The 14,264-nt window shown below is 41.9% G+C and overlaps 1 protein-coding gene across 29 annotated transcripts in view; it reads right to left on the bottom strand.

The window, feature by feature from the left end:
* Positions 1–14,264, bottom strand: part of INPP5F (inositol polyphosphate-5-phosphatase F) — a 103,098-nt gene that overhangs the window by 25,749 nt on the left and 63,085 nt on the right. For 23 of the 29 annotated variants that reach the window (NM_001441001.1, NM_001441011.1, NM_001441009.1 and 20 more), the window contains 6 exons: positions 11,754–11,882; positions 11,363–11,530; positions 11,186–11,242; positions 6,486–6,684; positions 5,759–5,938; positions 4,789–4,856 (listed from right to left, as the gene is read on the bottom strand). In NM_001441001.1, the coding sequence (NP_001427930.1) occupies positions 4,789–4,856; positions 5,759–5,938; positions 6,486–6,684; positions 11,186–11,242; positions 11,363–11,530; positions 11,754–11,882 (801 nt within the window). Of the gene's footprint in view, positions 1–4,788; positions 4,857–5,758; positions 5,939–6,485; positions 6,685–11,185; positions 11,531–11,753; positions 11,883–14,264 lie in introns of those variants that run through there. The other 6 variants (NM_001441006.1, NM_001441016.1, NM_001441017.1 and 3 more) reach the window with 5 other exon arrangements.

The raw sequence follows: 14,264 nt of genomic DNA, 5'->3' as shown, positions 1-14,264 counted from the left end.
TATGGACTAGTCTATAAATGATACTGGGATGTCTATGTGTGGGGTAAGGAGAAACTTACATTAGCTCCCTACATCTCATTAATTATACACAAATAAATTTTAGATGCATTAAGAATCTAAATAGTTTTTCTAATGATAATAGAGCTAGAAGAAAACTCAGAATAATGCTTCTATAAATGTAGGTTGGAGCATGACTTTCTAAGCATAACTTTAAAAAATTTTAAGCCTGTGTACCAAATGACAGTATAAGCAAAGGTAAGAAAGCAAAGTGCTACCTAGGAGAATATACCTGCAACATAAAAACCAATAATGCATAAAGAGTCCTAAATCCAATACGGAAAAAAATGGTAAAGGATACAGAGAAAATCCACATGAAAAAAATATACAAATAGCTAATAAACATGAGACTACAATTTCTGAACCTATACTCAATGAAGAGATGACAACTTTAATACTCAAAGAAATGCAATTTAAAACAGAAAATGAGTTTTCACCTATACCTAGGCAAACGTGAATACTAAACACAGACCGCACTGGTCAATATGTGAGGAAATGGGCACTAGCTCCTACTGTTGCTTTAAAACAATTTTTTTTAAAAAACCTGGTGTGATCTTTTCAGAAGCAACAGAGTGGTATCAAATTTAAATATACATAATGTCTGATCCAGCAATTTCATTTCCATAAATTTATTCTATAAAACATACAAGTATCCCAAAATATATAAAATGCGTTCTGTTCCTAGTCCATGGAGTTTTTAAAAAAGAAAGATATTTTCTGGAGTCTTTATAATAGCAAAATAACTAGTATATCCTAAAGGTCCACCAATAGAGAAATGATTAAACAGCAGCCATGAGACCTTAAATGAAAACAGCTGCACAATAGTATATATGGCATAGTTTTGTTTTGACTTGAGTTTTTTATTGTGTATATGCATGTGTCAAGGTGGCTTTTTTTGCTGCGGATGACAAATTTGAGTCAACTGACTCATACCTCAGAACAAGTCTGGAGGTAGGACGGTTCCAACATGGCTTAATAGTGATTCCCAATACCATTAAGGACACAGGTTCTTTCCATCCCTTTACTCTGCCATTCTTCCCATCTTTTTTATTCTGCCAGCATATCGGCTGATCCTGAGGCTGGTTCCTTCACAGTCTTGAGAGAGCTGTAGCAGTTCCACATCAAACCCAGAAACAGCAACCACAGAGGGACTATTGGTTCCTGTATCTCTTATTAGAGCAGAAAACCTGTTCCCAGAAGCCTCCCAGGAGACTTCCCCCACATCACCTATCTCATTGGCTAAATCCCCAATGAACATACACAGGTCCGTGCCTGAACCAATCACTGGTGACAGCAATGGGACCACCATGGCTGAGTCAGACCGACTGTGGGCCCAACGCCCTGGAAAGTAATTACCCAGGAAAAGGTGGATAAATGAACACTGTTGGGGTACTGTTCGAAATCAGGAAGTATCTGCTCAATACACACACCTAGAAAATTGATGTGAATGTCAACAGGGAGCAGGATGAGTGTGGGAGGCGGTTATTTCCTCTGCTTGCACACCTTAGTATTGTTTTGTTTTATAATTGCACGTTACACTTAAAATGTGGTTTATTCATTATTGTATTTTTATTTTTTAATTTTATTTATTTACTTATTTTGGAGACAGAGTCTCACTCCATCACCCAGGCTGGAGTGCAGTGGCACAATCATGGCTCACTGCAGCCTTCACCTGCTGGGCTCAAGTGATTCTCCCACTTCAGCCTTTTGTGTAGCTGGGACTACAGCCATGTGCCACCAGGCCTGGCTAATTTTTAAATTTTTTTGTACAGACAGGCTCTATTCTTTATATCTACTTATAATTACACACATTGCTAATACATGAATTTATTTACACTGAAACAAATTCAAATGTAAAATAAGGTCAAATCCTTCCTGACCACAACCCAATCCTATGGCCCTCCCTGGAGGTAACTCCTGTTATCAGTTGGGTGTATCCCCATTCAGCCCACATAAATGCATTTCTGTACAAATATGCATGTCATATGTGTGTGGATAGAATAAATGGAAGAGAACCAACTGTATGTAAATGACCTAATTTTGTTTTGTGGGATTTTTTAAATGGCTAACATACCATACGCTGTTAAAAGTTTTCTCTTCTTACCCCACAAGGTGATTTTAAGATCTTCCCATTAGTACACGTGGATCTACCTCATTCTTTTCCATCATTTATATTCAATACTTTAGATGTGCCATGCCTGATTTTCCCACCTATTGTCCTCCTGATGAACAATTAGGTTGTTTCTATGCTGCAATGAGTGTTCTTGTACATGCCTCCTTGACTGAATATGTTTCTCTCAGACAGATTTAAAAATTTTTTCTATTACAGTTCTAGTTGCTCCATGTCCTTGTCAAAACTTGGTATCCCTCCACTTTTTTTTTTTTTTTTTTTTTGAGACAGAGTGTTGCTCTGTCACCTGCTGGAGCACAGTGGTATGATCTTGGCTCACTGCAACCTCCGCTTCCTGGGCTCAAGTGATTCTCCCACTTCAGCCTCCTGAGTAGCTGGGACTACAGGTGCATCCCACCGTGCCCAGCTAATTTTTGTATTTTTAGTAGAGAAAGGATTTCTCCATGTTACCTAAGCTTCTTAACTTTTTTATGTTAGCCATTCTGGTGTGTTGAGTAGCGGCTTTAATTTGCATTTCCCTGACAGCTAATGAAGTGGAGCCCTTTTGCATACATCTACTGACTTTCTGGATATCCTCTTTTGTCCAGCTCTCTTTTGGGTTGTACATCCTTTTGAATAAACTTTTAGGTTTTTTTGGTTTTTGTTTTTTTTTTTTGAGATGGAATCTCACTCTGTCGTCCAGGAGTGCAGTGGCGCAACCTTGGCTTACTGCAACCTCTGCCTCCTGGGTTCAAGCAATTCTCCTGCCTCAGCCTCCCGAGAAGCTAGGATTACAGGCACAAGCCACCATGCCTGGTTAATTTTTTTTTTTTTTTTTTCAGTAGAGACAGGGTTTCACCATGCTGACCAGGGTGGTCTCAAACTCCTGACCTCGTGATCCGCCCACGTTGGCCTCCCAAAGTGCTGGGATTACAGGCGTGAGCCACCACGCCCAGCAGGCATTTTTAAATATACTCTAGATATGAGACCTTTGTCATACATACACTGAAAAATCTTAAATATCTTCTACCACTTTGTGAACTGCCTTTCCATTCTCTTGTGTCTTAACAAATACAAGTTTTTTATTTTAATAAAGCCAAATGTATCAAGTTTTTTTCACTATGGTGTTTTCTAAAGTCCTATATAATTTTAATAAAATTTTAATAATATTTACAACAGTATTTTAATATTTATAATTTAGTAAAGTTTTAATAAAAACGAATTTAAAGTCTAATTTATCATTTTTTTCATTAGAGTGTTTTTTAAAAATAAAAACTATTTCCTAGATGGGCATTACCTCTCATTAAACAACTAATAAAATATGTGATACATAATAATACATTGAAAACATGGGAAGACAATAGTTAGTGCTTTTTAAAGTCCTATTTAAGTCACCAGGTCAAAAAGATGTCTATTTTTTCTTCTAAAAGTTTTATTGCTTAACCTTTCACATTTAGGTTCATAATCCATCTCAACTGATTTTTGTATAGGGTATATAGGATAGATATCAAAAATTAAAATTACTGGGCTAAGCAGTATAAGTATGTTTAATTTAATTGATAATACCTTCAAAATGGCTGTACCAACTTAGGCTCCTTCAACCAATGTGTGAGAGTTATTTCAAAACCTAAATACTCGCCCCTTTTAATTCTTATCATCAAACCTCATATTTTTTTTCAATTTGAGGGTTTGCTATTTCCCTGCTGAGACTTTGTGATTGCCCAAAATTTATATATTAATTTAGGAAGAACTGAAATCTATTTAATATTGAGACTTCCCTTCCAGGAACATGGTATTTTCTCTCCACTTAAGTCAGGTTTTCTGTTGTGTTCTTCAGTAGTTTTTTTCTTTTTTTTCCTCCATATACATGCTATCTTTTTGTATGTTATTTTAGGCTGTTTCTTCCTACTTCATTTTTGTTGCTGAAAAAAAAATGCATTTACCTATTCATTACACATTCCACGGCATTACTCATTCACACTGGTCACTGCTAATGGATAACAGAATTACTATTATATATTCATCTTGTATCAAAATCATTGAACTTGTATCTCACCTACCAGTTTTCAGTTGATTTTGGTTTATACACTTGCATTCTTATATGTGAGTGAATATGAAGGTGAGCAGAGAAAAAAACATACTGAAAAATACATAACAAGTTATCTCCAGGAGGTTGAACTGTAGGTGGTACTGAGACATGACTTTCATTCCTTGGTCTAGATGCTTCTTAGATTGTTATAATTAATTGATAGCAATCTAACCTCTTCACGCTATCCAAACACAGTCTAAAGTAGCTGACCCTGCCGGGCACAGTGGCACATGCCTGCAGTCCCAGCTACTCGGGAGGCTGAGGAGAGAAGATTGCTTGAGCCCAGCAGTTTGAGTCCAGCCTGGGCAATATAGCAAGACAGTGTCTCTTTAAAAAAAAAAAAAAAAAAAAAAAAAGTAGCTGACTCAATGATTATTCTTAAAGAATATTAAGAAAACTCTTAGCTTAAATGTGTTAAACTTCATGACAAATGCTTTAATTTTGAATAGTACAATGTTATTTTTATGAAACTTAAAGAAAAAGTTATTTCTAAAGATGAAGGAACATTTTACTACTGTAAATCAAAGCCCACCTGTTTTTTGTAAATGTTCAGTTGTTCTTCGAAATGGGCACAGAAATAGGCAACAGTTTCCTTTTCACCTACAAAGAAGTGATACAAAATCTTTTTTTCCTTCCCATGTTTAAGACATATTAGTGTCTACTCCATCTTTATTCTTACTTTTAAATAATTTATTGACAGCCCAAATGAACTAAGATTGTCTAAAACCATCATTTAAAAATGAAATGCTAAGTCAAAGATCTGATTTTTTTTCCAGTTACACTACACTAAAATATATCTGAAAGTGCAAACTATGACATTATAAGATTATTTATATATCTAGCCTACTTCTCAGAAAAGTTTTCACGTAGTTTATAAGAGAATAAAAACCCCTCTAAAACAATATTTTAAAAACCAAAGCTTTACTGAATTCTCACAAAGAATACCAACTAAGTTGAGAGAGAAATTTACTTTAACATTTTTTTTAAAATCAAGCTCATTCAGTAATCTAATTAGATTTAAATGACTTAGCTATTCCAAGACCAAAGTTAAAATACTAGAAGAAACAAAATATTCGATTAAAAAAGAAAAACAAAACAAAAAAAAAAACTTTCACAGAAAAATATTTGAGTAAAGGCATCTTATTGATTTTTGGTAGATTCCATCTTAAGATAGTTCCTGCTTCTACAAATATTGGCTAGATTCGCTCCTTTCCAAAGTTAAACATTCAATAAAGTACTCTTCAAAGCGATAGCAATTTAAAATCTCTGAGGTAAGCCGTTTTGCTCTACTGTTAGAGAAATTTTTTATTGTTAAATAAATGACTTAGTCAACTATTTTTACTATGATTATTACATTACTTTCTATTACATTTTTCAAATACAAGTTATCGTTTTGAAAGAAGTATCTGGCAAAGCAAATCCAAACCTAACAGGTAACTAATTTCTTAAAAACTATTCTCTCTGAAATCATCATTTGCAAACCCAATAATTGACCTGCTTACTTCTGTCCAGCCGCGGTCTTGGGTTATATCGATACCCAACCTGGCTCCAAAAGACAGGCACAGAGCCTCGTGTTTGAACAAATGACAGGGTATGATTATGAACATGAATCAACTGCTCAGTCTCCACATAATTGGCAACATTTCCATTTTTATCCACTCCTCTTCGTTTATAGCGCATTCCTGAAAGAAAATTAAAACAGAAAACAGCAACATTTTAAAAAATTTATTTAGTCTGGCTAGATTATGCTTCCTAATCAAATGTATGTCTTCCAGGATAGCCTTGGGGATTCAGTGTGCAACTGCCAAGCAGAACAGTATCAACTTACCCAAAATCGTAACTGTATGCATCATTGTTTTTAACAAGTTGAAGCTCAGTTCCTCTGAACTGAAAGAGAAAGGTCTTCCCAAAGGCACTAGCACATAGGAAGGATTTATCACGGTGATACAGGCTGTCAGTGGAGTGCCAGTATTCTGAAGCACATCTCAAGTGACTTTTTCCCTTCTCTCTATATATGTACCTCCTTTTCCTTCTCATTTTGCTAACTCTCTCTTATTCACCCCTCTTCAAAAATTTGTCCCCAATTACATCACAGTATTTAGAGTCCCCAAGCACTTTGAAGCCAACTGTGTTCCCAAATCCATTATTGTCATTAGCATTTCAACACATCTGCAGCTTTTCCATTCTCGCCTGGATTTGATTTGAATGCTATTACAGCCCTCCACTCACCTGCTCTGTGCCTACTTCGGCGTGAAATGAGAGCCACTAGAAATCGTGGGTGAATATCATCTACACAGGTGGACTCCTGAGGGGGGGTCTCTGGGCTGCTTTTCTCATCATCAGATGATTCGGTATAATTAACCACAAGTTCTTCAATCTGCACAAAACCTTGGATCATGGGGATAATCCAAAAGTCCACATCTGGAGTCTGAAAACAAAATGAACATGATATCGTTTCTATTCTGTACAGCACTGCTACTTTCTTAAACCCAAACAGTAGTCAGCACATATTTCTCAGTTTATTAGAAGCAGAAACCTTCCATTATTCAACCATATTTTCTGCTTATTGAAGAACACCACGTAAGGAACGGACAGAGGAGGTCTTTCCTTTTCTTTATGGTGAACACAGCCTAAGAGCCAGGCTGCCTGGGTACAAATCCAAGCTCACCATTTATTAACTCACTGAGGGGAGTCACCCTTGCCGTCGCTGTCCTTCTCCGTGAAATAGTAACAACTACTTCATGAATTGTGAAAATTAAATGGATAATACACGTAGTGTTTAGCACAGTGCCTGCCATATGGGAAGTATTTAACAAATGTTTATGATTATGATTCTCAACTCCCAATTGTATTAAGGCTTTAATAAAATACAACCAACTCTGATCACTTTATTATAAAACACATAGGTCGGCTTTATTTTCTGGCTTAGAAAAAAAAAGTCTCAATTCCTGAAGCTAAAATCTAAGTAATAAATGAAACCAAAAAGAAAAAACCCATTTCATAAATGTCTTATTTTAAAATGTCATCCAGCTCTCCCTCTCCCTCTCCCCCTCCCCCTCCCCCTCTCCCTCTCCCCACGGTCTCCCTCTGATGCCCAGCCGAAGCTGGACGGTACTGCTGCCATCTCGGCTCACTGCAACCTCCCTGCCTGATTCTCCTGCCTCAGCCTGCCGAGTGCCTGCGATTGCAGGCGCGCGCCGCCACGCCTGACTGGTTTTCATATTTTTTTGGTGGAGACGGGGTTTCCCCGTGTTGGCCGGGCTGGTCTCCAGCTCCTAACCGCGAGTGATCCGCCAGCCTTGGCCTCCCGAGGTGCCAGGATTGCAGACGGAGTCTCGTTCACTCAGTGCTCAATGGTGCCCAGGCTGGAGTGCAGTGGCATGATCTCGGCTGGCTACAACCTCCACCTCCCAGCAGCCTGCCTTGGCCTCCCAAAGTGCCGAGATTGCAGCCTCTGCCCGGCCGCCACCCCGTCTGGGAAGTGAGGAGCGTCTCCGCCTGGCCACCCATCGTCTGGGATGTGAGGAGCCCCTCTGCCTGGCTGCCCAGTCTGGAAAGTGAGGAGCGTCTCTGCCCGGCCGCCATCCCATCTAGGAAGTGAGGAGCGCCTCTTCCCAGCCGCCATCACATCTGGGAAGTGAGGAGCGTCTCTGCCCGGCCGCCCATCGTCTGAGAGGTGGGGAGCACCTCTGCCCTGCCGCCCCATCTGGGATGTGAGGAGCGTCTCTGCCCGGCCGCCCCATCTGAGAAGTGAGGAGCCCCTCCGCCTGGCAGCCGCCCCGTCTGAGAAGTGAGGAGCCCCTCCGCCCAGCAGCCACCCCGTCTGGGAAGTGAGGAGCGTCTCCGCCTGGCAGCCACCTCGTCCGCGAGGGAGGTAGGGGGGTCAGCCCCCCGCCCGGCCAGCCGCCCCGTCCAGGAGGTGAGGGGCGCCTCTGCCCGGCTGCCCCTTCTGGGAAGTGAGGAGCCCCTCTGCCCGGCCAGCCGCCCCGTCTGGGAGGGAGGTGGGGGGGTCAGCCCCCCGCCCGGCCAGCCGCCCCGTCCGGGAGGGAGGGAGGTGGGGGGGTCAGCCCCCCGCCCGGCCAGCCGCCCCATCCGGGAGGGAGGTGGGGGGGTCAGCCCCCCGCCCGGCCAGCCGCCCCATCCGGGAAGTGAGGGGCGCCTCTGCCCGGCCACCCCTACTGGGAAGTGAGGAGCCCCTCTGCCCGGCCAGCCGCCCCATCCGGGAGGGAGGTGGGGGGGTCAGCCCCCCGCCCGGCCAGCCGCCCCGTCCGGGAGGGAGGTGGGGAGGGGGTCAGACCCCCGCCCGGCCAGCCGCCCCTTCTGGGAGGGAGGGAGGTGGGGGGGTCAGCCCCCCGCCCGGCCAGCCGCCCCGTCCGGGAGGGAGGTGGGGGGGTCAGCCCCCCCACCTGGCCAGCCGCCCCGTCCGGGAGGGAGGTGGGGGGTCAGCCCCCCGCCTGGCCAGCCGCCCCGTCCGGGAGGGAGGTGGGGGGTCAGCCCCCCACCTGGCCAGCCGCCCCGTACGGGAGGTGAGGGGCGCCTTTGCCCGGCCGCCCCTACTGGAAAGTGAGGAGCCCCTCTGCCCGGCCACCACCCCGTCTGGGAGGTGTACCCAACAGCTCATTGAGAACGGGCCATGATGACAATGGCGGTTTTGTGGAATAGAAAGGGGGGAAAGGTGGGGAAAAGATTGAGAAATCGGATGGTTGCCGTGTCTGTGTAGAAAGAGGTAGACGTGGGAGACTTTTCATTTTGTTCTGCACTAAGAAAAATTCTTCTGCCTTGGGATCCTGTTGATCTGTGACCTTACCCCCCAACCCTGTGCTCTCTGAAACATGTGCTGTATCCACTCAGGGTTGAATGGATTAAGGGCGGTGCAAGATGTGCTTTGTTAAACAGATGCTTGAAGGCAGCATGCTCTTTAAGAGTCATCACCACTCCCTAATCTCAAGTACCCAGGGACACAAACACTGCGGAAGGCCGCAGGGTCCTCTGCCTAGGAAAACCAGAGACCTTTGTTCACTTGTTTATCTGCTGACCTTCCCTCCACTATTGTCCTGTGACCCTGCCAAATCCCCCTCTGCGAGAAACACCCAAGAATGATCAATAAAAAAAGAAAATGCAAACATAAAAAATAAAAATAAAAATAAAATGTCATCCAACATAATTAGGAGAGTACTGATTAAAGATTTCTTCTTCTGGTCAGTTGCAGTGGATCAATGCCTGTAATCCCAGCACTTTAGGAGGCTGAGGTGGGCTATTCACTTGAGGCCAGGAGTCTGAGACCAGCCTGGCCAACATGGTGAAACCCCGTCTCTACTAAAAATACAAAAAATTAGCTGGGCCTGGGGCGCAAGCTGTAATCCCAGCTACTTGGGAGGCTGAGACAGGAGAATCACTTGAACCCGGGAGGTGAAGTTGCAGTGGGCTGAGATCGTGCCACTGCACTCCAGCCTGGGTGACAGAGAGATACTGTGTCAAAAAAAACAAATAAATAAAATAAAGATTTCTTCTTCTGTCTCTTTCAGACTAAGAAGACAGATTTCTCAACTTATTATCTGCAGAGACAGTAAAGGATAAAAATGCTCCAGAGAGTTCTTCTTTGTCCTTTCTCTCTTATCTCCGTAAGTGTACCCAGCCTTAATCTCAGCATCCACTTCAAATCCACCTCTTCTTCCATCACCAAACACTCCAGGTCCTATCTCAGTTTTGTTTTGTTTTGTTTTGTTTTGTTTTGTTTTGTTTTGTTTTATGCAGCCTGCAGATAGGATCTTAGGAAGGTGGCTAAAGTTGAAAATAGTGAGGTAAAGGATCTACCTGCATTCTTATCACCATTCCCATTATTTGTATTTCTGTTCTAGCAATAAATGCAAAACTCTTGACAGGCATAGAGAAATTTATGCTGCCAAATGTCACCTTTGAATATGACGACTTCAAGTCGTCAGTTTTAAATGGTAATGTAAAAGCATTCTGACAAAAACTCGGCAAAACATGTTAGAGCTCGATATTGTCAGCACACAGGACAAATGCTCATTACAGATGCCCCTGCTTTTCTCCTCTACCACTGGGTTTTGGTGGTCACAGTTTGATCAGCATTGCAAACAGAGGTAAGAATAATCTCAGGCCTCATTCTCCATAGAGGCAATTGATGGGTATCTAGCGAAGACACCACTAGATTATGTGAAAATCATTGATACTAACCACCACTAAAGGGGAGAAACCAAAAGGAAAAGGTGTGAAATTTCTGAAAGGTTAAAAGATAACATATGACTTTATTCACCTATTTGCCTGCTTTGTTTAATGTCTAAAAGACAAGTGGCACATAACAGGCCTTCCATAAATATTTGTTGATTGAATGAATTGTCTTTAGACAGTCAATTTTCCAACATACATGACCAAGAAAAGGAAAAAAATAATCATCAAACCAAAGGAACTTCTTGCAATAATCTCATCATATTCTGTATCTTCCCCCTATCAAATACTGGTAGTACAGCAATGGCCTCAGAGATTTGGCTATTCCAATTCCCAGATAGAAAACAGAAGTCCGGCGAAGGTTAAAAAAAAAAAAAAAAAAAAAACTGGTACCATTTCAGGAAAACTGGGCTCAAACATTCCCAATGGGTAGAAAGAAAATACCTCTTTTGCAGGAAGTCTATGAACATGAGTTCCACAGCCTTAACTTACCATTATCCTATGGGAATGTGCTAAAAAGACAGGCCTGTGACGAGGCAGTGAAATTGTAAACTGCCTTAAAATAATGCCTTGGTTTTCCTGGCTAAATGATTCCCATTCCATAGGGGAAAACGTAGTGATCTTTAAAAATGTATCTTAATATAATTAAAAAACATTTGCTTAACAATTATAACCAGACGTTTTAGAAACAAACAGACCAATTTCATTACGGTTAGGAAATTTTAGAAACAACTACTCACACCAATCTCAGTAAGATCTTGTATCATGTATTTATTCCAAAAAAATCGGTCATCAACCTAGAAAAGGTGCAGGAACAATAGTTCAGAAACACATTATTTCAGTTTTCCTACAAAAGCCAAAACAGGCCATCACTTCTTCCCAAGTGCAAACCCTGCTCTACGAGCTGTGAGTGGTACCTTCTGCCAGAGGGGCCGACCGTCCCTCTCCCCAGTGCTCTGCCTCTGCACGGAATTGGTCAGGTCATAGGTCAAGCTATAATAAAAGGATTCTGAGTCCATGAACATCTTCAGCAACTCTTCAAGTAATCTCCTCTCCAACTTCTCCTTCTCTTTACTTTCCTTAACCTATAAGAAATTAATCTACTATTACTACAGAAATTAAATGTAAAGTAGTCTGGGGATAACACATAAATTCCTAAGACAGAAGTGAAAATAATCCCAAGGGCATAAGGAGATGGTGCTTCAATACAACAAATGGTTTAAAAATAAATTTTCTGAGTGGAGAATTATCTCTCTATTTAAAACTAATCAAAGGTGAATTCAAAGCCTATATCAATTAAACTCTTACTTTCTTTTTATTAGGAGCAGACACATTGGATTTAATATGCGTAAAGGTCTTCAGTAGAAACTTTGAGTCATCAGGAGATGGTATGATCTTCTCTGGTTTGTTAATACCAAAATGATGCTTCTTACAGAGCTAAATAGGAAGAGAAAGATGATTTGTTATTACTAATACCTGTTTGTTAAATGTTCGAGTGCAAAAGTGAATGCTACTGCTCAGGCATTCTGATTAACAGTAAACTTCAAGAGTTAGAAAAATTATCAAGTAGACAATTGATGGCAAGCACAACTATGAGTCCCATGATGAGAAAGCTATAGCAGAGGATAAAACACAAAGAATACAGGGCAGGATATACTTAGGATTTAGAGGTGGAAAATTCAGGTTAGGCTCATAATCGGTTCTCTTCTAACATAACTGAAGAGTGAAATGTTCCGGCTGAGGTTATTAATGCTTTGGAAATTAGTATCTAAGAATTTAAAAATTGCAAAATGCACATTTGCTATGCTTCAGGGTTATGACTTTACAGGTATCCGTGCTAAATACTGATGCTAATTGAGTGTTTTGGTTGAGAAGATGGCTTAAGAGCCTGCTCTAGTGGGAGCCCTAAAAGCTGGACATTTCAACCACTCCCTCTCCTCCTACGCTCACATGCACTAATGAAATCAGCTTAATAACATACACTTTGGGTCCGGAGATTAGTTAAACTTGAAGAAGCAGTAATTAGGGGCTGCAGGAGAAGTGCCGCACAGCTGACAAGGGTAAGGAAGGGCGTGGGAGCGTGAATACGGCTATGTTAAGAGAAGAGAAGGCACAGAAGGTTCTAAAGAAGGCTACCTGATTAAAGTTGAGGGATTTACATATAATTTCATGTAGCTCAGCAAACAAAGCAAATATTCTGAAATGTACACACAAATTCTGTTAACAATATGCAGACCAATTCCATTTTTTCAACAAACTAGTTGCATTGCTACACTAAGTAGGAGACTCTTAATAAGAACTAATAGTTACTAAATGCTTATTATCATCAGTGTGTTACAAAATAACTATTAAGATAAAGTGAGAAGAAAAGCGAGTTTAAGCTTTGATTGAGAGAGAGAGAATCCCTGTTTTATCAAATTTGGAAGTAGAAACTAATAACTGGACCAAATTTTCATGTGCAATGGGATCTCCAGATGATTTCAAGCCTTTTCAAAATCATGGCTATCAAAAACTGTCCACACAGGTTTCACACCATGATTACAGCTTTAAGCTGCTCCTGCCCTACCATTAAAGACAAGGGAACTAAAGATGAGGGAGAAAAGCTTTATACTCCTATTACCAGAACAGCTCACTTTATTTCCCTTCAAATAAGCAAAACTAGCAAGAATTCCAGGTGACACGGAAGGAGAGAAGACAGAACCAAGCTTATGGACATGGCATCCCTCTTTCTGTGATCGTTTCCGTCAGCACACAGGCCCATCCTCCTCCGCTCCTCTCCTCTGCACACCCCCGAGCGACTCCTCTTCCTCAGCCACTGCTGTCCTCTTACTCACTCTGCACTCCTCAGTACCTCCAGCTCCACTCCTCCCATTCTCTCCCCAACTCGCCCCCCACCCCACCCCCCGATTTGGCTTTCACCCCTACCACTCTCCCAAGCTGCTGTCTGAAGCATGCTCAATGACCTCCACTTTGCTAAATCCAATGCTCTTGGTTCTTAACTCTCAGTAGCGTCTGAGTCCCTCCCTCATCCTACAACACACGGCTTCACCTGGCTCCTTCCTACTGGTCACTCCTCCTCTGCCGCTTTGAGCAGTTCCTTTCCAGCCTCCTGCTTGATGTCTAGGTGCCCCAACGTTTGGTCCCTCATCCCCTTCTCATCTGCATTCACTCCCTCAGTGATTTCATCCAGACTCATGGATTCCAATACTGTCCTTATGCCAACCCCACCTTCCCAAATGTTTATTTCGAGCCCAGCTCTCTCCCAAAACTCCAGCCTCACATATCCCAACATTTCCACTGGGATGTCTACCAGACATCTCAAACTCAACATGTCCAAAACCAGAGGTTGAGGCAGGATCTTTGTCTTGTTGACTCCTACCTCCAGTGCCTTAGCAGTAGCTGCCATTGGAGCTTTCACGACCATCACTCCCCTTCTCCCATGAACACATTGTACACACCCCACCCTCCTTGATACAGCATCACTGGGGCAGCAGAGCAGCAGTTTTAAAAAGATGCTTTCCCTTTGGTCTCCTGCTACTACTTTGCTTGTGGCACTTGGCAACTGCTGGCTAGCAATTTTTATATAAAATATCAGTGATTAGTCATATGAATAACTCTTTTAAAAACCTGAAAACATGCTTACTTGCTCAAAACCGAGCTACAGATTGTTACAATTTTAGTATTCAAAACGGGATACACAGACATAGCCATTCTTTTTTTTTTTTTTTGAGACAGAGTTTCGCTCTTGTTGCCCAGGCTGGAGTGTAATGGCGCAGTTTCGGCTCACCACAACCTCCGTCTCCTGGGTTCAAACAATTC

This window comes from Homo sapiens, chromosome 10 (genome assembly GCF_000001405.40).
Source record: "Homo sapiens chromosome 10, GRCh38.p14 Primary Assembly".
NCBI lineage: Eukaryota > Metazoa > Chordata > Mammalia > Primates > Hominidae > Homo > Homo sapiens.
The sequence above is the reverse complement of the archived record's forward strand: the minus strand, read 5'-3'. Positions and strand labels throughout refer to the sequence as shown.